Consider the following 23,738-nt stretch of genomic DNA (forward strand, 5'->3'; position numbering starts at 1 on the left):
TGATTCAAACTTGGTATCTAGATTATATGTTGGATATATCAAAATTAATAAAGTGGACATTTTAGAAATCATTTAGAATAAAAATAGTTGTAAATGAGTTTCTTTCCAAATACAAATTACATCAATTAGTAACTTTGGATATGTGGTTTGGTAAGAAACAAACATATACAAAATCTCAGAAGCTTAAAAGAACAGAGGTGTATTTCTTGTCTATACCACATGTTCATCTTGGGCAGGCTGGGAGCTCTGCTTCCCATCTTCTGCAAGTTGAGACCAGGGCGAGAGAGCAGATAATTTCTGGAACATTGCTGGTTATTCTGACAGACAGAAAGAAGATGGCATACCATGTTTTGGTTCTTAGATGTTTTATCTTGATCCACAACCCTTTTGCTTGCTGATGACCTATGCAAATCACTTGACTAACACCAATCACCTGAGGCTAGAATAGCCCAGCCCTACCAGGTTCTCAGAAAGAGATCAGAGAGATTTAATGCAAAGTCTGACATCCACACTGGTTCAATATTATTGTGATAAAACGTAGAATGGCTTTAGAACATACAGAAAACATTACCAGCAGCTGTATAATCCAGGACATTTTTTATTAGCTTTAATGTTTTAGCTTTATGTTTATTGAGTTCTCTGACACATTTTTCAGATGTTATATAATATTTGAATTGTTTCATTTTAGGTCATGTTTTATTCAGGTATTGATAAATTCACTTTGAGTTGTATTTTGCATCATGCTAGAAAAATGTAATGATTTCACTTTTCTAAGAAGTTCAGTGAAACTTCTGTGACTGTTCTAGTCTACCCATGTGGTAGGAAGTTTAGCTAACTTCTGTCTAATGATGTGTCAGCTTCCACTGTACTTATGACACTGCTTTAGCCATTCAATGAAAGTACTTTGAGGAGTCTAATATGGATTTTAACTTAGTCACCACGGTGATCCTGTTAGCACCTTCAAACTTTACAGATTACTGTCTGAAAAAATGTGCTAGACTAAGGAGTTCAAAAGCTAATTGCTTTATTTTATGTGCCATTAGCTTAACCCTTCATTCAATTTTTCTTTTGATCTCATCTCCTAGAAGGTAAGTCTTACAAAATAAGCTTCATTCTTTCTTTGCTATTATCAGCGAAGGTATATTAAAGGCAAAAGGCAATTAATTTGATGATTCGACTGAAATGTGCTTGGTTGTGTAAGACTTTCCAGCCCAGTACCATTTATTGTAAGTCTGTAGGAAGGACATCACATTCAACTCCACACATAACATGATAGATCAAGTGTTTTTCAAATAAAGAATCACCACTTCTGAAGTATCTGTGGCATTCTGCAAGTGACCTATTCTTTTGCATTTGTGAATTCTTTAAGAGATAGTGTTATATTTGATTTTTTAATCCTAACCTAATAAAATTTAATATAATACATTTTGAATCACACAAACGACCATTGCATTAGAAAGGTAAATGAATAAATTCAGTGTCCACAGGCAAGTTTGCTTTTGACTTTATGATTACTTCTGAACAAAGTAAAGATCAAGTGAGGTCAAGAGTGGCTGTACAAAGAACATTTACTTAGTGGTTTAAATAGGAACAAATATTCTGAAAATTAAGTCATCTTAAGTCATTACACGGCAGTATACTTAGGACAAAGTCAAAAGTACTTAAATAGTGTATTGAGGGACAAGGGCAAAGTAATATGAAGAATGTATGTATTGCTTAGTTTATGCTTTTGTACAATTGAGCATGAACCACTTCTTTGTTATAAAAGTCAGTTATTCATCACTATAAGAAAAATTCTAAGAAATTATTTTAAATACTCAGTACCATATTGTATGTGGATTAGTCCATTCTCATGCTGCTATAAAGAACTGTCTGAGACTGGGTAATTTAAAAACAGAAAATGGTGTAGTTGACTCAGCGTTCCACAAGGTTGGGAAGACCTTAGGAAACGTACAATCATGGTGGAAGGGGAAGCAAACATGTCCTTCTTCACATGGTGACAGAGAGGAAAAGTAAGTGCCCAGTGAAAGTGGAAGCCCCTTATAAAGCCATCAGACCTTGTGAGAACTAACTCACTATCGTGGAGAACAGCATGGGGGAAACCACCTCTATGATTCAGTTAACTCCACTTGGTCCCACTCATGACATGTGGGGATTATAGGAACTACAATTCACGATGAGATTTGGGTAGGTACACAGCCAAACTATATAATTCCAACCCTGGCCACTCCCAAATCTCATGCCCTCACAGTTCAAAGCACAATCTTGGCCTTCCAAGAGACCCCCAAGATTTTAAGTCATTCCAGCCTTACCTCAAAGTTCCAAGTCCAAAGCCTCAACTGAGATAAGGCAAGTCCCTTTTGGCTATGAATCTGTCAAATCAAAAGGAAGTTAGTTACTTCCTACATACAATGGGGGTACAGGCTTTTGGTAAATACATGCATTTCAAATAGGAGAAATTGGCCAAAATGAAGGGGCTATAGGCCCCATGCAAGCCCAAAATCCAGTGGGGCAGTCAAATCTTAAAGCTCTGAAACTATCTCCTTTGACTCCATGTCTCACATCCAGGTCACGATGATTCAAGAGGGGGCTTCCCACAGCCTTGGGCAGCTCCACTCCTGTGGTTTTGCAGGGTCCAGCCCCCCTCCTGGCTGCTTTCATGGGCTGGCATTGAGTGTCTGCAGCTTTTCCAGGTGCATGGTGCGAACTATCGGTTATCTACCATTCCAGGGTCTGGAGGATGGTGATTGTCTTCTCACAGACCCACTAGGCAGTGCCCCAGTGGAGACTCTTTGTGGAAGTTTCAATCCCACATTTCCCTTCTGCACTGCATTAGCAGAGGTTCTCCATGAGGGTTCTGTCCCTGGACCAAACTTCTGCCTGGACACACAGGCATTTCCATACATCCTCAGAAATCTAGGCAGAGGTTCCCAAACCTCAATTCTTGACTTCTGTGCACCCGCAGGCCTAACACCACATGTAAGCTGCCAAGGCTTGGGGCTTGCACCCTGTGAAGCCATGGACTAAGCTGTACATTGGTCCCTTTTAGCCACAGCTGGAGCTGAAGCAGCTGGGATGCAGAGCACCATGTCTGGAGGATGCATAGAGCTGTGGGTCCCTGGGCCTGGCCCAGGAAACTATTTTTTCCTCCTACATCTCCAGGTCTGGGATGGGAGGGACTGCCATGAAGACCTCTTCAATATAATGAATTCTTTATTTTCAATATATAACTAGCAGTGAAATTGCTGGATCATATGGTAGCTCTAGATTTTTGTGGAACCTCCAAACTGTTTCCTACAGTGGTTGTACTAACTTATATTTCCACCAACAGTGTACCAGGGTTCCATTTTCTCCACATTTTCACCAGCATTTGATATTGTTAACTTTTGGATAAAAGACATTTTAACTGGGATGAGATCATATCTCATTGCAGTTTTGATTTGCATTTTTCTGATAATCAGTGATGTTGAGGCACTTTTCATATACCTGTTTTCATTTGCATGTCTTCTTTTGAGAAATGTCTATTCAGGTATTTTTTTCAATTTCTTAATTAGATTATTAGATTTTTTTCCTATAGAGTTGTTTGAGCTCCTTATATATTCTGGTTATTAATCCCTTATCCAATAGGTAGTTTGCAAATATTTTCTCCCATTCTGTGGGCTGTGTCTATATTTTGTCAATTTTTTCCTTTGCTGTTCAGAAGACTTTTAACTTGATGTAATTGATTTGTTCAGTTTTGCTTTGCTTGTCTGTGCTTATTGGTATTACTAAAGAAGCCTTCGCCCACTCTAATGTCCTAGAGAGTTTCCTCAATGTTTTGTTGTAGTAGTTTCATAGTTTGAAGCCTTAAATTTAAGTCTTTAATCCAATTTAATTTGACTTTTGTATACAGCAAAATATATAAATGTAGTTTCATTTTTTTGTATATAGATATTTAGTTTTCCCAGCACCATTTATTGAAGAGACTGTTGTGTCCCTAACATACGTTCTTGGCATTTTTGTCAAAAATGAGTTCACTGTAGATTTATGGATTCATCTCTAGGTCCTCTGTTGTGTTCCACTTATCTGTGTGTCTGTTTTAATGCGAGTACCATGCCATTTTGGTTACTATAGCTCTGTAGTATAATTTAAAGTGAGGTAATGTGATTCCTCCAGTCTTGTTCTTTTTGTTAAGAATAGCTCTGGCTATTCCGGGTCTTTTGTGGTTTCCTGTAAAATTTAGATTTTTTTTTTTATTTCTATGAAGAATCTTATTGGTAATTTGATTGGGATTGCATTAAATTTGTAGATTGTTTTGGGTAGTATGGACATTTTGACTATATTGAGTCCTCTAATCCGTGAACACAAATTATCTTTCCATTTCTTTGTCTTCTTCAATTACTTGCATCAGTGTTTTATAGTTTTCATTGTAGATACCTTTCATTTCTTTGCTTAATTCTTAGATACTTTATTTGTGGCTACTGTAAATGGCATTAATTTATTGATTCCTTTTTCAGATTGTTCACTGTTGGCATATAGAAATGCTACTGATTTTTGTATGTTGATTTTGTATCTTGCAACTTTACTGAATTCGTTCTTCAGTTCTAATAGATTTTTGAATGGAATCTTCAGATTTTTCCAAATATAAGATCATATTATCTGCAAACAAGGATAATTTGACTTCTTCCTTTCCAATTTGAGTGCCTTTTATTTCTTCCTCACGTCTGATTGCTCTAGCTAGCATTTCCAGTATTATGGTGAGTAATAGTGTTGAAAATGGGCATCCTTGTCATGTTCCCGATCTTAGAAGAGAAGCTTTCAGTTTTTCCTCATTCATTATGAAAATAGCTATGGGTCTGTCACATATGGATTCTATTATGTTGACATATATCTAACATTTTTAGAGTATTTATCCAGAAGAAATGTTGAATTTTATCAAATGCTTTTTCAGCCTCAGTTGCAATGATCATAGGGCTTTCAGTTTTTCCTCATTCAGCATATAACCAGTTATAGGTCTGTCATATATGACTGCTGTTATGTTGACATATGTTTCTTTAGGGTATTTATCCAGAAGAAATGTTGAATTTTATCAAATGCTTTTTCAGCCTCAATTGTAATGATCATATGACTTGGTCCTTCATTCTGCTGATATGATGTATCACATTGATTGGTTTGCTTATGTTGAACCATCCTTGCATCCCTGAGATAAATCTCATTTGGTCATAATGAATGATCTTTTTTATGTATTATTGAATTTGATTTGCTAGTATCTTGTTGATAACGTTTTACAACACTATTTATCAGTGATATTGGATTATAGTTTTCTCTTTCTGATATGTCTTTGTCTGGTTTCAGTATCAGGGTATATACCGGCTTCATATAATGAGTTTGGAAGTATTCACGTCTCCTCTATTTTTCAGAATAGCTGAAGTAGAATTGGTATTAGTTCTTCTTTATATGTTTGGCAGATTTCAGCAGTGAAGCCATTGGATCCTAGACTCTTGTTTGCCGGGAGACTTTTATTATAACGTCAATGTTGTTACCTATTTTTGGTCTGTTCAGATTTTGGATTTCCTCATGGTTCAGCCTTGGTAGAATGTATATGTCAAGGAATTTATTCATTTCTTCTATATTTTCCAGATCATTGGCAAATAATTGCTCATAGTGGTCACAAATTATCCTTTGAGTTTCTGTGTTATCAGTCATAATATCCTTTTTTCATCTCTGATTTTATTTATTTGGGCTCTCTCTCTGTCTCTTTTCAGTTAGTCTGGCTAAAGGTCTGTCAATTTTACTTATCTTTTCAAAAAACCACCTTGTTTCATTTATGTTTGTGTTGTTTTTGTCACTTAAAATTTACTTGTTTCTGCTCTGATCTTTATTTATTTTTCCTCTGCTAAATTTGGGTTTGGTTTGCTCTTGCTCTTGCTTTACTAGTTCTTTAAGGTGCATTGTTAGGTTTTTAATTTGATGGGTTTTTTTTTCTTCTTTTGATGTAGGAACTTATAGCTATAAACTTCCCTTCTAGTACTGTTTTTACTGTATCCCATAGGTTTTGGTATGTTGTATTTTACATCAATTGTTTCAAGAAATTTTTCGTTTCCTTTTTAAATTCTTCATTCACTCATTGGTCATTCAGGAGCATATTGTTTAATTTCCATGTGTTTGTACAGTTTCCAAAATTCCTCTGGTTGTTGATTGCTAGTTTTATTTCATTGTGATCAGAGAAGACGCATTATTTCAATTTTTTTGAATGTTTTAATACTTATCTTAATACATAACTAACATATGATCTTTCCTTGAGAATGATCTATATGCTGAGGAAAAGAGTGTGTATCCTGCAGCCATTTGAGGAAATGTTCTGTAAATATCTATTATATCCACTTGGTCTGTTGCAGGTTAAGTCTGTTTTTTCTCTATTGCTTTTCTGTCTGAAATATCTTTCCAATGCTGAAACTGGGGTGTTGAAGTCTCCAGCTAGTACTGAATTGGGGTCTGTCTCCCTCTTTAACTGTGATAATATTTGCTTTATATATCTTGGTGTTCCACTGTTGGGTGCAAATATATTTACAATTGTTATATCCTCTCGCTGAATTGACCCCTTTATCTTTCTATAGTGACCTTCTTTGTCTTTTCTTAAAGTTTTTGTCTTAAAATCTATTTTGTCTAAGAATAGCGACTCCAGCTCGCTTTTGGTTTCCATTGACATGGAGTAATTTTTTCCATTCCTTTATTTTCAGTCTGTTTGTCTCTATAGGTGAGGTGTGTTTCTTGCAGAAAACAGATCAATGGACCTTGTTTGTTTATTCATTCAGCCACTTTACACCTTTTGATTGGCAATTTAGTCCACTTACATGCAATTTATTATTGATAAGTAAGGGCATACTCCTACCATTTTGTTATTTTGTTTTCTGATTGTTTTGTGGTTTTCTCTTTCTTCTTTTCTTTCTCCTGTCTTTCTTTTAGTGAAGATGATTTTCTCTGGTGGTATAATTTAATTTCTTTTCAGCTTTTGTGTATCTGTTTTATGATTTGTGATTTGAAGTTACCACGAGGTTAACAAATACTATCTTAGAACCCATTATTTAAATCTTATAACAACTTAACACTGTCTACATATACAAACAAGCAAAAAAAGCCTAATAAAACTCTATTTTAACTTTGTCCCCCTATGTTTTAATGCTTTGTTGTTTCTATGTATATCTTATTTTACTGTCTATGTCTTTAACAGTTGTTGTAGGTACTACTTTTGATTGGTTAAAGATAGTCTACACATCAGTTTACAATGCTATAATGTTCTGTGTTTTTCTGTGTATTTACTATTAGCAGTAAGTTTTGTACCTTCAGGTGAGTTCTTATTACTCATTAATGTCCTTTTATTTCTCATTGAGGTACTCCCATTAGCATTTCTTGTAACAGGTCTGGGGTTGATGAAATAACTCAGTTTTCATTTGTCTGTTCTTTATTTCTCCTTCATGTTTGCACAGTATTTTCACTGATTACATTATTCTAGAGTAAAAGTTATTTTTATTATTTTTTTTTTCCATCAGCACTTTAAATATTTCATGCCACTCTCTCCTGATCTATAAGGTTTCCACTGGAAAGTTTTCACCAGACATATTGGAGTTCCACTGTGTGTTATTTATGCTTTTTCTCTTGTTGCTTTTAAGATTCTTTCTGTATCATTGACCTTTCAGAGTTTAATTATTAAATGCCTTGAGGTTGACTTTTGTGGGTTAATCTGCTTCATGTTCTATAACCTTCTTATACTTGGATACTGATATCTTTCTCTAGGTTTGGGAAGTTCTCTGTAATTATCCCTTTGAAAACCTTTTACCCTTATCTCTTTCATTACCTCCTCTTTAAGGTCAATGACTCTTAGGTATACCCTTTTGGGGCTATTTTTTAGACCCCATAGGCATGCTTCATTGCTTTATATTCTTTTTTCTTTTGTGTCCTCTGACTGTGTACTCTCAGATAGTCTGTCTTCAACCTCACTGATTCATTTTTCTGATTGAACAATTCTGTTATGAAAAGACTAATGCATTCTTGATCATGTCAATTGCATGTTTTAACTCCAGAATTTCTGCCTGATTTTAAAAAAATATTTCAATCTCCCTGTTAAACTTATCTGATAAGATTCTTAATTTCTTCTCTGTATTATCATGAATTTCTTTGAGTTTCCTCAAAAAAGCTATGTGAATTCTCTGTTTGAAAGGTCACATATCTCTCTTTCTCCAGGATTGGTCCCTGTTTCCTTATTTAGTTCATTTAATGAGGGCATGTTTTCCTGGATGGTCTTCATGCTTGTACATATTTGTTTGTGTCTGTGCATTGAAGGGTTAGGTGTTTGTTGCAGTCTTCACAGTCTGAACTTGTTTGCACTTGTCTCTCTTGATAAGGTTTTCCAGGTATTTGAAAGGACCTGGGTGTTGCGATCTAAGCCATATCTGCATTAGAGGGCACCCCAAGCTCAGTAATGCTGCAGTTCTTGCAGACTCATAGATGTACGACCTCGTTGGTCTTGGGTAAGATCTGGAAGAATTCTCTGAATTACCAGGAAGAGACCCTTGTTTTTTTCTCTTACTTTCTCTCAAGCAAGTGGAGTTTCTCTCTCTCTCTCTCTCTCTCTCTCTCCCTGCCACCTGGAGTTGAGAGTAGGGTGACACAAGCACCCCTGTGGCCACCTCTGCTGGGATCGTGCTGGGTTAGACCTGAAGGAAGCACAGCACTGAGTCTTGCCTAAGGCCTGCTGTAACCAATACCTGGATACTACCTATATTTGTTCAATGCCCTGTGTTTCTACAATCATCAGGTGTTGAAGCCAGCATTCGTGTCCTCCCCTTCAGGGTTATAAGTTCCCCCAGATGCCAGGCAGGTCCAGATGTGACATCAGGGAGCCACGGACTGGAGCCAAAAATCTTACAAGTCTTCCTGGTGTTCTATTGTACTGTAGCCAAGCTGTCACTCAAAACATGAGATGCATTTTCATTCTTCTTTCCACTATTTACAGGCAGAGGAATTTCACCCCATGGCCACCACCATCACAGGCCCACAGGGAGCACTGCCAGGCTACTGCCAATGTTCCCTTAAGGCCCAAGAGCTCTTTAGTCAGCTTGTGGTGAATGCTGCCTGGCCTGGGACTCACCCTTCAGGTCAGTGAGCTATCCTGTGGCCCATGGCAGGTCCAGAAATATCTTCCAACAGAAAAGGCTTGGAACTGGGGACCCCAAGAGCCTGCTTCATGCTCTACTCCACTGTGGCTGACCTGGTACCTGAAGCCAGCTAGTCTCAAGAGTCTCACCCAAGGCCCACAGTGTACTACCTTTATCACTGCTGGTTATTCAGGCCCCAAAGCCTTTTTAGTCAGCAGGTGATGGATCCTGCCAGGACTGGGCTCTTCCCTATAAAGCAGTGGGTTCCTTTATGGCCCAGGGTGTGTCTAGAAATATCTAGGAGCTAGGGCCCAGATAGGGGACCTTGCAACTCTGACTGTTGCCCTATCCTGCTGTGGCTGAGCTGGTATCCACGATACAAGGTAAAGTAATAGTAGGTACATAGTAATTAGCCATTTGCATTTAATTTAATTTCATTTCTTGTTCAGTTAAAGTCAGATCACACAGCTAAATAAATATATGAATGTTTAAGTGATTGCTTAAACACTTGAGAATTAGAAAGTTTTCTAATATCAAATGAAATATTGTTATATATTGACTCCACTGTGTTAGAATTCAGAGCTAGTAGTAATTATGAATTTCCAAACTCCCATGTTTAACCCTTTTTTAATTGCTATTAGTGCATTTTTAAATGTTTTTTAAATATATAACAATATTTGAATTTTTATTCTTTCTAGTAAACTCTTAATTATTAAAGAGAAAGAGACTCATATAAATGTTCATTGGAAATAATGTGAACTCAGTAAATATCTGGGCAAAAGAATCCAAACAAATGCATTATAGTGGTAAAATCTGCTGTTCCTTGCAGACTGATGTGTGAACAGAATCATGAGACACACACACACACACACACACACACACACACAATCCTTCCTCAAAGGGACAGAGTTGACAAATGAAAGATTCTCCTTGCATGACCTTAAAATAATCTAATATTTCTCCATTATTACACAAAGGAGTTATTGCAGTTTTATTTTTGATCTCAACTGAATAAGGGCTCACCTTTTGATGGTTGCCATTTTATGCTTTTTGTGTGTAATAACTGCCTTGACATTTATGGTGCTCCAACGTGTCTTTCTTAATGTGAAGGAATCATCTGTGCATTAATGAACTGGCTTGATGTATCTGCCAAACCTTTCAAAGATGCAATTAAATCCCTGTAAGAACTTGTGTGAATGGCATGATTTATTGTAATCTAAGAAGAAGTATAAACAAAAAGTAATTAATTTTTAAGGTGGCAATCAAGTAGTACAACATAAGAACTACATCTATTGAACTCCATCTACATAGAGCATAATAACAACATGCTATTTTTTAAATGTCTCATCAAATTTCAAATAGTACTTTTGGGAAAATGTTCAACTTTATTACTGTTCCAAAAATTTTAAATTAAAACTATGGGGTATCATTCTCATCTATAAAACTAGAAAACTTAAATTAGACACAGCAGGAACATGAAAATTCAAGGTTAGGAAAGGAATGTTGAAATGAATACTACTTGACATCATTAATGGCAGGATGAGCAGCAATCTTGCTGTTTTTTTTTTAAATAATTTTTCAATATATATTAGAAGCCTAAAAATGTCATAATACTATAGTTCATAAACTACCCTTTTTAAATAGCCATAAATATAGGATTAATTCCTGAGGATCACTATGACATTCATTTTTTATATATCTACCATCAAAGTAAACACCCAAAATATCCAAGAATAAAGGAATAATACATTTAACTATGTTAATGCACCAGAGAAATTGTATTCGGCACTTTAGGTGATACTTAATTATACCAAATGCATTTTTTATGTAGCACATATTGAGTACATTTGTGAAGGGAACTATCCTAATCGATTTACATTTAGTTCTTATAAGGCTTATTTCTTGTGAGATCTAATATTTTTCTCAATTTACTGACGAAGATCATTTTGATTAAAGTAACTTGCTTAGGGTCACACTGCTCATGTGTAATGAAGCAAAGAGTAGAAATATGTCCAATTAGAAAAATCCATGCTCTTAACCCTTGAAGCATACTGACTATTTAGTGATGTTGTAATTTTATTGAGCCAAAAAATACTCAAATACATTCTCTGTGTATACATTAAATGTTTAAACTGGATTGTTACAAATAATCTCTCTCTCTCTCTCTCTCTCTCTCTCTCTCCACCCTCCCCCCATCTTTCTCTTTCTCCCTCTTTTGCTTTTGTCCCTTATCATTCTTGGTATATTAGGCATACATTCCTAATATATAGGTATAGTTGACTAGGTTGAGTTGTTATTTGCACACATTATTTTCCTTCAAGGGTCACAAAAGACTTTTGTTTTTCTCAGTCGACCTGCTTGACTTAGTCTTCAATAATCTATATTATACTGAGTTCAAAATTACGGAGGTTTCTTAATCAAAAATTTGCATCTTTGTGTGGTTGTCTCCATGCATTGCAGACCTGTTTGACATACCCCTTTTTGGGGTGAGTCTGGAACATAAAGAATATCTTTGAATGGGACTTGTGAGAAGCAATCATGCAAGTCTGTAATGACATATGATCAAATTAAAAAATAAGAAGAGAAATGCTATTATCCAGAATATATTGTTTTTAATATTATAAACACAGGATATGTTTTTATATGAATTCAGAGGATTTTTTTTCTTTAAGGTCCATTCTCTTCTCTTTTCCTTATGGCACCTTTTATTTGACCTCTGTAGGTCACTCTAAGTGTCAGCCTACTAGGAATGCCTTGCTTGATTCCTTAGACATGGCATTTTATTGATCATCTTGTACTCTCCTTTGTGACAGTTAATATAGTTGGAATTGGTGTTTTTTAGTAAGTGTTTGTTTAGTGTTTCTTTTCCCAATTAGATTGCGAGAGCCATGAGGGCAGAACAGAAAAGATGTTTGTCATCATCTGTTCTGTATCATAAGGACATTATTAAATGAATTAGTGAGTATCTCTCATATATATATATATATATATATATTTTCTTTTCTTTTTTTTTTTTTTCAGACAGAGCCTCACTCTGTCACCCAGGCTGGAGTGCAGTGGCACAATCTCAGCTCACTGCAACCTCCACCGCCCGGGTTCAAGCAATTCTCCTGCCTCAGCCTCTCAAGTAGCTGGGACTACAGGCATGCACCATGATGCCTGGCTAATTTTTGTGTGTTTAGTAGAGTTAGGGTTTTGCCATGTTGGTCTGGCTGGTCTCAAACTCCTGACCTCAAGTGATCCACCCACCTCATCTTCCCAAAGTTCTGGGATTACAGGTGTGAGCCACGGTGCCCAGCCCTCATACATGTTAATAAAAATTGAGAAATTATTTTTTTCTGATTAAGAAATCATATATATATATATGATATACCTGTATATCATACACAATACATATATATCATAGAAATCTGTGGAGATTATATAATGTGCTCATGGAATTGCACTGATCTTATGAATTCTATCTAAAAGGATGTCTAGAAGTGAGGTGTATGGGGTTTTTGAGCTGGTCCTGTAAGAGGTAGAAGAGGATATGTTTTCAGGATAATTTGTCTATGGCACACTATTCTCCATAAAGCATACGACTTTGACTTTATTATGTACTCTTGAATTTTATTGCATCTTTTTAACCATTCATGGTGAACATAATGTGGACTAAAGGTATGAATATTTAACTCTAAATATATATAATGTGGGAAAGTAGCTTCAAGATTGTTGACTAGATACATCTGGTATTTGCTCTTCCACAAAGAGAACCAAAATAGTGAGTAGATAACTACACACTTAAAATAGATCACCTAAGAGAGGACACTGGAATTCAACAAAGAAGTGACAGGGAACATCTAAAGCAAGGAAACATAGGAAAGCAAAGCAGTTGCTTGGCTGGGATTGGTTGGGAACTTGGAGAGACTCCAAATAGGGGGAAAGGGAGATTCTCAGTGTTCTATATTTTCACCATGCTATCCTATTGATGGGAGAGCCCCTTGACCCAGTTGGATGCTGAAATCAACATGGGGAGCTGCCTGGAGAAAATGCAATAGGATCGCTCTGGAGAGGGGGCCCACAGGGTATCCCCCAAACCCTCAAGTCCTAAGCAGCTGCCACTTTAAGGGTCAAAGCTCAAGTGAAGTGTACCCCCCAAATGGCTGCCTACAGTTGTTTCCACTGAAAGCAACTCCACCTTCCCCAATAGAAGGGCTACAGGCACAGCAGCTGCCTCCACCAAGCATTCTGCTGGTGGCCTCAAGATTGCCCTGCACCTGCCTAACACAGAAAGTGCCTGTATGTGCTATCAGGGGACCTGAGGGCAGGTCTTCTTGGCCCAATTTCACTCCCCCCAGTACCTGGGCACACTGTCCAGAGCCTGGAGATTGCCCAGCCCAGTCCACCACATTGGCACCTGAGAACATCTCTCAGTTGCCTGAGCTTGGACCCACTCAGCAGGCCTCTGCCAACATATCTGATACCCATCTACACATGCCACACTTGAACCTGGAAACTGGCCCACCCCACCCATTACAACCAACACCAACACCATTGTGAACCACTTGGGGCCTTTAAAGTTGTCCCAACTTTGCTACTGTCATCACACCTGCCACACCTGTTACCCAGGGGCATGAGAACCTTCCCACCTTTCCAGCCCACTGCTACCATTTCTTGCATCTGACAAAGCTGCTGCAAGGTTCAAGAACTGGCCTGCCTGCACCTGCTAACATTGACACCACCCTTGGACCAAAGAACAGTTATACTTGATCCGTCACTGCCACCAAAGGGGCCCAACTGGTATCCCAGTCACTACAGGCTCCGGTAGCAACTGCATCCTAAGCCACTGAGGAAATCAGTCACCACTGATCCTGTTACTGCCAAAAAAAATCAAATGGAAGACATGCTATTGTATGCAAGCACAATCAAAGCCAACATGCACTACATCCAGATACAGGAAGCCCAGAAATTCTGAAGTAGATACAAATCAAAAAGGTCTTTTCTACAGCACATTATAATCAAAATGACAAAATCAAAGACAAAGAGAGAAGTCTAAACAAAGTATGAGAAAAGCACATAGTCATTTGTAAACAAACTCCTATCAGACTAGTGCAGTTTTCTCAGCAGAAACCTCACTGATCAGGAGAGAATGAGATGATATATTCAAAGTGCTGAAAGAAAAATAAAAACTTCCAGCCAAGGATACAATACTCATAAAGTTATCATTCATAGATGAAGGATGATGTTCTACTCATTCTTTCTCAGATAAACAAAAGTTGAGGGAATTTATCACCACCAGATCAGCCCTCTGATAAATGCTTAAGGGAGTCCCACATCCAAAAGTGAAAGAATGATGTTTACCATCATGAAAAACATTAAAATATAAAACCCAACTTGCTGGTAAAGCAAACAAGGAGTGAAAAATATTTAAATTATACTGTTACAGAAAACTAACAAACCACAATGGTAAGAAAAGGGAAAGGAACAAATGATATACAAAACAAACAAATCAATTAATGACATAAAAGGAATAAGCTCACTTATATCAATAATAACCTTGAATGTAAACAAATAAAGCTTTCCACTTAAAAGATACAGACTTGTTAAATGGACTTAAAAAATAATTCCACTAGGTACTCCCTAAAAGAAAGTCAGATATGACATGTAAACACACATATAGGCGAGAAGTTTAAATAGATTAATTTACCACTGATACCACAGAAATCCAAAAAATTCATCAGAGAATACTATGAAAACTGGATACTAAGAAAGAAACTGGAAGACCAAGAGGAAATGAATAAATTTCTAGATACATATGACCTATCCATATTGAATTAAGAAGAAATAGAAAACTTGAACAGTCCAATAACAAGGAATGAGATTGGATCAGTAATAAAAAGGCTCAGGATAAGATAGCATTAGTGCTGAATTTTATTGAACTTTCAAAGAAGAACTAACACCAATTCTTATCCAGCTATTTCACAGAAATGAAGAGTATTCCATGGTGTATATGTGTCACATTTTCTTTATCCATTCTATCATTGATGGGCATTTGGGTTGGTTCCAAGTCTTTGTTATTGTAAATAGTGCTGCAGTAAACATACATGTGCATGTGTCTTTATAGTAGAATGATTTATAATTTTTTGGATATATACCAGTAACGGCTTTGCTGGGTCAAATTGTACCATGTCCTTTGCAGGAACATGGATGAAGCTAGAAGCCATCATTCTCAGCAAACTAACATAGGAACAGAAAGCCAAACACAGTATGTTCTACTCATAAGTGGGAGTTGAACAATGAGAACACATGGACACAGGGAAGGGAACAACACACGCTGGAGCCTGTTGAGCGATGAGGGACAAGGGGAGGGAGATCATTAGGACAACTATCTAACACATGCAGGGCTTAAAACCTAGATGATGGGTTGATAGGTTCAGCAAACCACCATGGCACATGTATACCTATCTAACAAACCTGAAAATTCTGCAGATATATCCTGGAACTTAAAAAAAAATGGAAGAGGAGAGAATTCTACTCAACTAATTCTATGAGGCCAGCATTATCCTAATACCAAAACCAGACAAGGATGCAACACAAAAAGAAAACTACAAACACATATTCCTGATGAACATAGACACAAAAATTCTCAGTAAAATACTAGCAAACCAAATCCAACAGCACATTAAAAAGATAATACACCATTATCAAGTGGGATTTATCTCAGGGATTCAAGAATGGTTCAACATATGCAAATCAATAAGCATGACATCAATAGAAGACAAAAACCATATGATCATCTCAAAATACCCAGCAAAAGCATTAAAGTTAACATCAATTTATGATAAAAACTCTCAAAAACTGCGCATAGAAGGAACAAATCTCAAAATAATAAAGGTAATACATGAGAAACCCATTGCCAGCATCATGCTGAATGGAGAAATGCTGAAAGCCTCTAATAGCTGGAACAAGACCAATTATGCCCACTTTCACCACTCCTAATCAAAATAGGACTGGAAGTTTTAGCCAGAGGAATCAGGCAAGAGAAAGGTATAAAAGGAATCAAAGTGGAAAAGAAAAAGTAAAATCGTCCCTCATTACAGATGATATAATCTTATATTTTGAAAAACCTAAAGAATCCACCAAAAAATCCTCTTAGATCTGGTAAATAAATTGCATAATTTTGGGACACAAATCAGCATACAAAAATCAAGAGCATTTCTATACACCAAAAACTAGATAGCTGAGAAAGAAATCAAGAAATCAATTCAATTTATAATAGCTACAAAAATACTGAGAAATAAATTTAACCAAGAAGGTAGAAGACCTCTGGTATGGATATGGTTTGGCTCTGTGGCCCTACCCAAATCTCATCTCAAATTGTAATTCCCAGGGGAGGGAGCTGATGGGAGGTGATTCGATCATGTAGGCAGTTTCCCTCATGCTGTTCTCCTGATACAGTTCTCACAAGATCTGGTTGTTTCATAAGTGTATGAGTCTTCCCACTTCTCTCTCGGGCCACCATGTAAGACATGCCTACCTGTCTGCCTTCTGCCATGACTGTAAGTTTCCTGGGGCCTCCCTAGCTACGTGGAACTGTGAGTTAATTAAACCTCTTGTCTTTATAAGTTACCCAGTCTCTTTATAACAGTGTGAAAACAGGCTAATATAACCCGAATAAGGACAACTACAAAACAGTGATAAAAGAAATTGAAGATGACACAAAAAAATTGGAAAACATTCCATTGTCATTGGTTGAAAAAATTAATATTGTTAAAATGACCATACAGCCCAAAGCAATCTGCATATTCAATGCAATCCCTATCCAAATACCAACATCATTTTTTCACAGAAATAGAAGAAAACCCTAAAATTAGTATTGAACAAAACCAAGGCTGAATAGCCAAAGCAAAAGCAATCTTAAGCATAAAAAAATGAAATATAACAAAGCTGGAGGCATCGCACTAACTGACTTTGAAATATATTACAAGGCAATAGTAACCAAATTGTCATGGTCTTCATATAAGAAACACATACATAGACCAATGCAACAGAAAAGAGAACTAAGAAATATATTCACATACTTAAAGCCAATTGATTTCAACAAAGGTGCCAAGAACACATACTGAGAAAATGACACCCTGTTAAATAAATGTTGCCAGGGAAATAGGAGATCATATGTAGAAGAATGGCACTGGACTCCTATCTCTCATCATATACAAAAATCAACTGAAGATGGATTAAATACTGAAGCATAAGACTAGAAACTACAAAACTATCAAAACAAAATATAAGAAAAATACTCCAGGACATTGGTCTAAATAGAGGTTTTATGGCTAACACCTCAAAAGCACAGGCAACAAAAACAATAACAGTCAAAAAGGACTGACTATATCAAACTAAAAAGCTTCTGCACAGTAGAGGAAACAACAGAATAAAGAGACAACTGATTGAATGGAAGAAAATATTTGAAAACTATTCATCCAACAAGGGGATAATATCCAGAATATACAAGAAACTCAGACAACTCAACAGTAACAAAAGCAAATAATCCCATTAAAAAGTGGGCAAAGCACCTGAATAGACATTTCTCAAAAGAAGATATACAAGTGGCCAAACATATGTGAAAAAATGTTCAACATCACTAATCAGGGAAATGAAAATCAAAACCCAAATGAGACATCATCTTACACTAGTTAGAATAGTTATTATCACAAAGATGAAAAATTACAGATGCTGCAAGGGTGCAGACAAGAGGACATTCTTATGGACTGTTGTTGGGGATGTAAATTAGTACAGTCACTGTGGAAAACAGTATGCAGATTTCCCAAAAAACTGAAGGTAGAACTACAATACAATCTATCAATTGTGCTGCTGGGTATTTATCCATAGGAAACTAAATCAGTGTATCAAGGGGATACTTGCACTAGCATGTTTATTACAGCACTATTCACAACAGCAAAAATATGAAATCAACCTAAGTGCCCATCAACAGATAAACACATAGAGAAAACGTGGTGTATTTGCAAAACGGAATACCACTTGGCCATATAAAGAGTGAAATCATGCCATTTGCAGCAAAGAAGATGGAACTAGATGTCATTATGTTAAGTAAAATAAACCAGACACAGAAAGACAAATTTTGCAGATTCTCACTTGTCTGTGGGAACTAAAAACGTTGTTTTCCTTCCTGGAGGTAGGGAGTAGAATGACAGATACCAGAGGCTGGAACTGGTGTGAGTGTGGAAGAAGGGGGATAAAGAGAGATTTGTTAATGTGTACAAAGCTACATTCAGAAAGTATAAATGCTAATGTTTGACAGCAGAATAAGGTGGCTATGGTTTACAACAAGGTGTTATATATTTCAAAGTAGCTAGAAGAGAGGACTTGATTGTTCCCTTCTCATTGAAATGATAAATAATGAAGGTGCTGGATACCTCAAATAACCTGAGTTGATCATTTCACACTCTATGCATGTAATAAAATACCACTTGTACCCCAGAAGTATGTAAAATATGTATCAACAAAAATAAATAAATAAATATACAAAATGTATATGTTAATCAATGGTAGCTCCTGATAACATTCAGAAATTGAAACAGGTCAAAATTGACTTTTCTGTAGTGTCTGATAATATAATTTGTATTACAAAGGCTATGACCACCATTCCTTAGTCTCTCTAGAATGTTAGGAGTTGAGCTATGGTCAGAAGTAATTACTCAAACTTATTAAAGCTAAATGCAAATCTGTTTGCTTCATTTCCTTTCACTTTTTACACTATTCTATTTTAAAATAATCTTGGCGAAAGTTAGGAAGCACGTTATATTTCTATTATTTTTTCACTAGGTAACGATGGATGTGAAGAAAGTGACTTGATGCAATGATCTAACACATAAATCATAAATTTTTTGATCACAAACCTAATGCTCAATTTAAGAACAAAATTTAGCTTAGCAAAGCAAAATACTTCCAATGAATATTTTCTGCATTACTTAGGTTTCTGAAAATATGGGGTAAGCGTGTGACAGTGGGAGAGAAGTATAGAAGTTTGATGGTTTTTTATTTAAGAAATGAAGAAACAACAAAAAAAAACTGATGTGAAAGTAATCGAACGCTATGGTTGAGGGTAGACATTTTCTTTTGGTGTCTGCATTTAGCACACTGAAATAAATAGCATAATAACCCAGGTGATTTACACTTATAGTACTATTATCTTCCTTTAGGATGGGTAAATAACATATTTTATGTTCTAATTATTTATAGAACCAACATGTTTTGAGAATGTATGATGATGAAAAATCTACCCAAAAATAACGTGATAAAGCGTGTTTATATATAAACACATTAATATCCATTACTTTGAGGAATGTAAAAATTATTTTAATCATTTCAGAAATCAAATATGCTTTGAGATCATTTGTACTTTTACGAAGCATGGCTACATAACTTACTTTGCCTATTCGTATCTATGGCAAAATTGTGCTCCTTAATAAAATCTCATTAGAAAACACATTATGTGTAAATAAAATACTTCCTTTATTTTCAACATTACTTCACCATAATTATATGTTTTGCTGATTGATTGCCCTAAACATGGTCTGATTTACTGCATAGAAATTATATTTACAGATGTGAATGTTATTTCCAGAGAACCTGTTGATTTTTTTCTTCTCATACTCACAAAAAGAATAGAAGTTACAACAAACAACAGAATTACTTTAAGCAAAAATAAATTTCTAAAACTTCAAGTCCTTCTAATTGGTTAGTGTGAAATTGTTGTAACTTCTATTCTTTTTGTGAGTATGAGAAGAAAAAAATCAACAGGTTTTCTTGAAATAACATTCGCATCTGTAAATTTAATTTCTATGCAATAAATCAGAAAGTCATTTATGAAGGAAAAAAATATTGTTAATTTATAGTATAGGCATTCATGACTACAAACAATAAATGAACCAAAGCAGCATGGAAATATATTGACAGAAAAGACACAACTATATATTATATTTTAATAAAAAGAAAAATCCAGAAAAATGTATGTGCTTTAAAAGATGATATATTTTGGACATTTAAAAAACATCAACTAGCCAGGTGCAGTGGCTCACACCTGTAATCCCATCACTTTGGGAATGCGAGGTGGGTGGACCACCTGAGGTCAGGAGTTCGCGACCAGCCTAGCCAACATGATGAAACCCTGTCTCTACTAAAAATACAAAAATTAGCCAGGCGTGGTGGCGCATGCCTATAGTCCCAGCTACTCAGGTGGCTGAGGCAGGAGAATCTCTCAAACCCAAAAGGTGGAGGTTACAGTGAGCCAAGATCACGCCACTGCGTGATATATTTAGTAACATATTTAGTATATTTAGTAACATAGTTTGGAGGAAAAATAGTGTTAAGCTATGACAAAATTATCATATTTTATTGTAGAAAAGTCAGTATTATATTTATTTTTGTTATTTTTGTTTGTATTTATATTTATAAAGAAGAAGTCTTAGCAAATCCACTTAAAATTGTAGGTGTGGTTTATTTGCAATGACATATTAATTGAGCTTGTTTGGTTAAGCTAAATTGCTTAAATAATTGTTTTCAGAAAGTGCAAAAGTTTATTATGCTATTAATTTCAGTTCTAATTCTGTGTGAGTAACATATGTTTATACTGGTTAAAATTCTGCAAAGATTTTGTCTGACTTAATACCCGAAGTAGTGGAAATGTCTAATTACAATATATTATTAATTTGGAGTATAGGGTTATTTCATGAGGATGTTAACATAAGTTCTTGACTTTTAGTTGGGGTACACACACATTAGATCTCTTTTCCAATGTATAGTCCAAGAATTATGCATACCAAAATTACAGAAGATGTTTGTTAAAAAGTCAGATTCCAACCATACTACCTTTAAATATATAGTAATTTTTTATTGTAATTTGACATATAAATAATTTTAGGACTGTGTTATATATATATATATATGTCTGAAATTCAGAATTACTCTTGACTTTGTCTAATTTTAAATTTAATATTTAAATACATGGGTATTGATGGAATTGTTGCACCCTGTATTCTTTACAAATGTATTAATCTTTATATCTATACATCCATTTATAGAAATTCAGACATGTTATACATGTATGCATGGGAAGATTTTTAGAGGGTTTTTGATATTTTGGTAGCTTCTTGTGTTTTAACATTATATTTGCTTTACTTTTTTACCTTGCTAGGTATGTTTTTATATATCAAACATCCTTATTCATTACTCATTCTAAATGATAGAGATTCCTTGGCTTACTACATTAGCACATCTGGATTTGAGGCATGAAAATCTGTCTCTACAAAATATAACGAGAGATTTTGGTGCACAGTACCATTTAAAACCGTTGGAACAGACCACAGAATGACACCAGAATGATTGTGGTAAGCTTGGTAACTGAGTTTGAAATAGTTGTGCAGGTGGTTCCTTCCAATTTCCCCACTCCTTGAGTTAATCTTATTTACAGAATCTGACGAGACAAATTTTACCCTAAATCTAATAGACTTGGCTTTCTAGATTCATGTTGTACAACACATTTAGGATGAAATAGACCTTATTCTGTTCATCTTAGTAATAGTTCTCTTCTCCTTGAATGTAAATATTATATTTTAAAATATTTATTATTTTCTGTAGCATATATACTGTTATTTATAATGTTCAGTTATTAAATGTTTTGATTATGTATCTTTTATATTCATGATTGTATATCATTTATTTTTCTAGCTGTAAGAGATCAAACTATAGAACTAAGCATCTGCTGACCATGCTTCTTTCAGTCTATCTTATTTAAAATGTAGTGAAATGTCCTAATTCTTGAGAGAGGAATTTCTTTCTACTAGCTGACACGGCCCCTTGAAAATCTAGGTGCAATTTAATAATTTAGAAATCCTTTGGGCATGGTTTGACATGGACTACATAAAAGCATTAAATGAATAAATAAGTAGGTAACATATGAGCTTATAATAAGATTACCACGACATATAAAACTAATATTTAAATATTGAAAGTGGATATCTAGGAGTTCATAAATTTAATACTGACATAATTACACCTTCCCATTTGCCTTTCATTCTTGTAATCACTTATAACCACCGCCCCCCCACCCCAGATAGCACAAATCTGTGAATCTACATAGGATAGATGTAATTTAGATAGATCTAGTAATAAAGGCAGATTCTAGAGGATGATTACCTTAGTAAATTTGTGGAATGGTAGTTCTGTATGGCACTGGAGAACACAATTTTCCCAGCTTTCCAACAAGTGCCCAACAGGTACAAACTTTCAATAGTACAGATTACTTTCTGTCTGGGCCTTGGAATTTTTACCACACAGTAACAGGATGATTTATTGCTGGACTAATCTTAAGGGCATTCTGTGATCCCTAGCAATTTGTTTGCCTACAGTCATGGTCCCTTCTGCATACATTAGCCTAACACACTGTATAAAGCAATGCTTCTCACCTCTACATTATCTTCTCTTTCATAAGGAATATTTCTAAATAATTTTTAAATGTATACAGTTACCTCTTTATATATTACAATGTAAAATTTCCTATTTAAAGACCCATATGGGTCACAGGATTTAGGCAACACAATCTGATATTGAACATGTTTTAACATTCTGTATCAATGAATGAATCAATCTGTTTATATTCAGTATTACACATATATGTGGATGAATAATATTTTGAAATAGTATGGGTATGTGTTTATCAGTGTGTCTCTGACTTTTTCTTCCATTGAAAAAGATAGCTTTGTATTTAATTTCTCATTGTCGGTACATAGAGCATCAAAAAAAGAGACATGGTCAATAACACCTTCAGGCTATCAATTCTCAAATAGTCAAGCCTTAAGAAAACTTATGGGAAAGAACACTATTGGGTAAAGGTGGTGGTAGTTTTAAAAAGATGAAGAGAAAAGTCCCCCTTAAGACTAACAAAATAATCCTTAAGCTGGATAATGAGACAGAAATTACAGGTACTCAGTGCCCTGAGTCTATCCAGTGTCAAGCATCCTTGTAGTCCCAATGAGGCCCAGCAGAGTCCTAGAAATACTGGCTGTGTGATGCACTGAGGCAGATACATGACTGTTCAGAGAGAGGATAGAGAGGGTACCAGGAAGGTGCTAAGGATGACAATTTTTTTGCATGGTGATATGGATAGGATTCAATCAGAAGATGATTTTTGAGCAAATTTTAGAAGGAATAGAAAAGGCAAGTATATTTCTGAGAGCAGCTGTCCAAGTAAAAGTACACAGTCTAGATCAGCTAATCTCACCTCTGCATATTAGTAACAAAAACTCACCAGACAATTCAATAGTGTGTTTAGGGTTGTGAAAAATTGGCGTAGATTATAGAGATAAGGAGAAAGGACACAGACACATTCACCTGGTTATTGACATTGAAGGAAGGAATACTCACCTTTCTAGTCTTCCCCAAACAAACTGATGTGCTTAGTCTATCCATTCCAAAGTTTAGGCCTCTGAAACGAGGTGGGAGGTGGATAGGCCAGTGGAACCACTTCTCAGTACTTGGCAAAAGTAGACTCTCATGAGGCAGCTTTAAGTCAAGACCGTTGCCTTCAGTGATATAGAAACATTT

The 23,738-nt window shown here is 35.6% G+C and overlaps 1 long non-coding RNA gene across 1 annotated transcript; it reads right to left on the reverse strand.

Annotated features, from left to right (window-relative positions):
- Window positions 1-191: 191 nt before the first annotated feature.
- On the reverse strand, window positions 192-23,673 carry LOC105374701 (uncharacterized). Its single transcript, XR_001742620.2, has 4 exons — window positions 23,559-23,673; window positions 10,158-10,289; window positions 2,313-2,372; window positions 192-317 (listed from the first exon to the last, which is right to left on the reverse strand). It is a non-coding gene; the product is annotated as an uncharacterized LOC105374701 (long non-coding RNA).
- Between the last annotated feature and the right edge of the window lie 65 nt (window positions 23,674-23,738).

This window comes from Homo sapiens, chromosome 5, assembly GCF_000001405.40.
Source record: "Homo sapiens chromosome 5, GRCh38.p14 Primary Assembly".
NCBI lineage: Eukaryota > Metazoa > Chordata > Mammalia > Primates > Hominidae > Homo > Homo sapiens.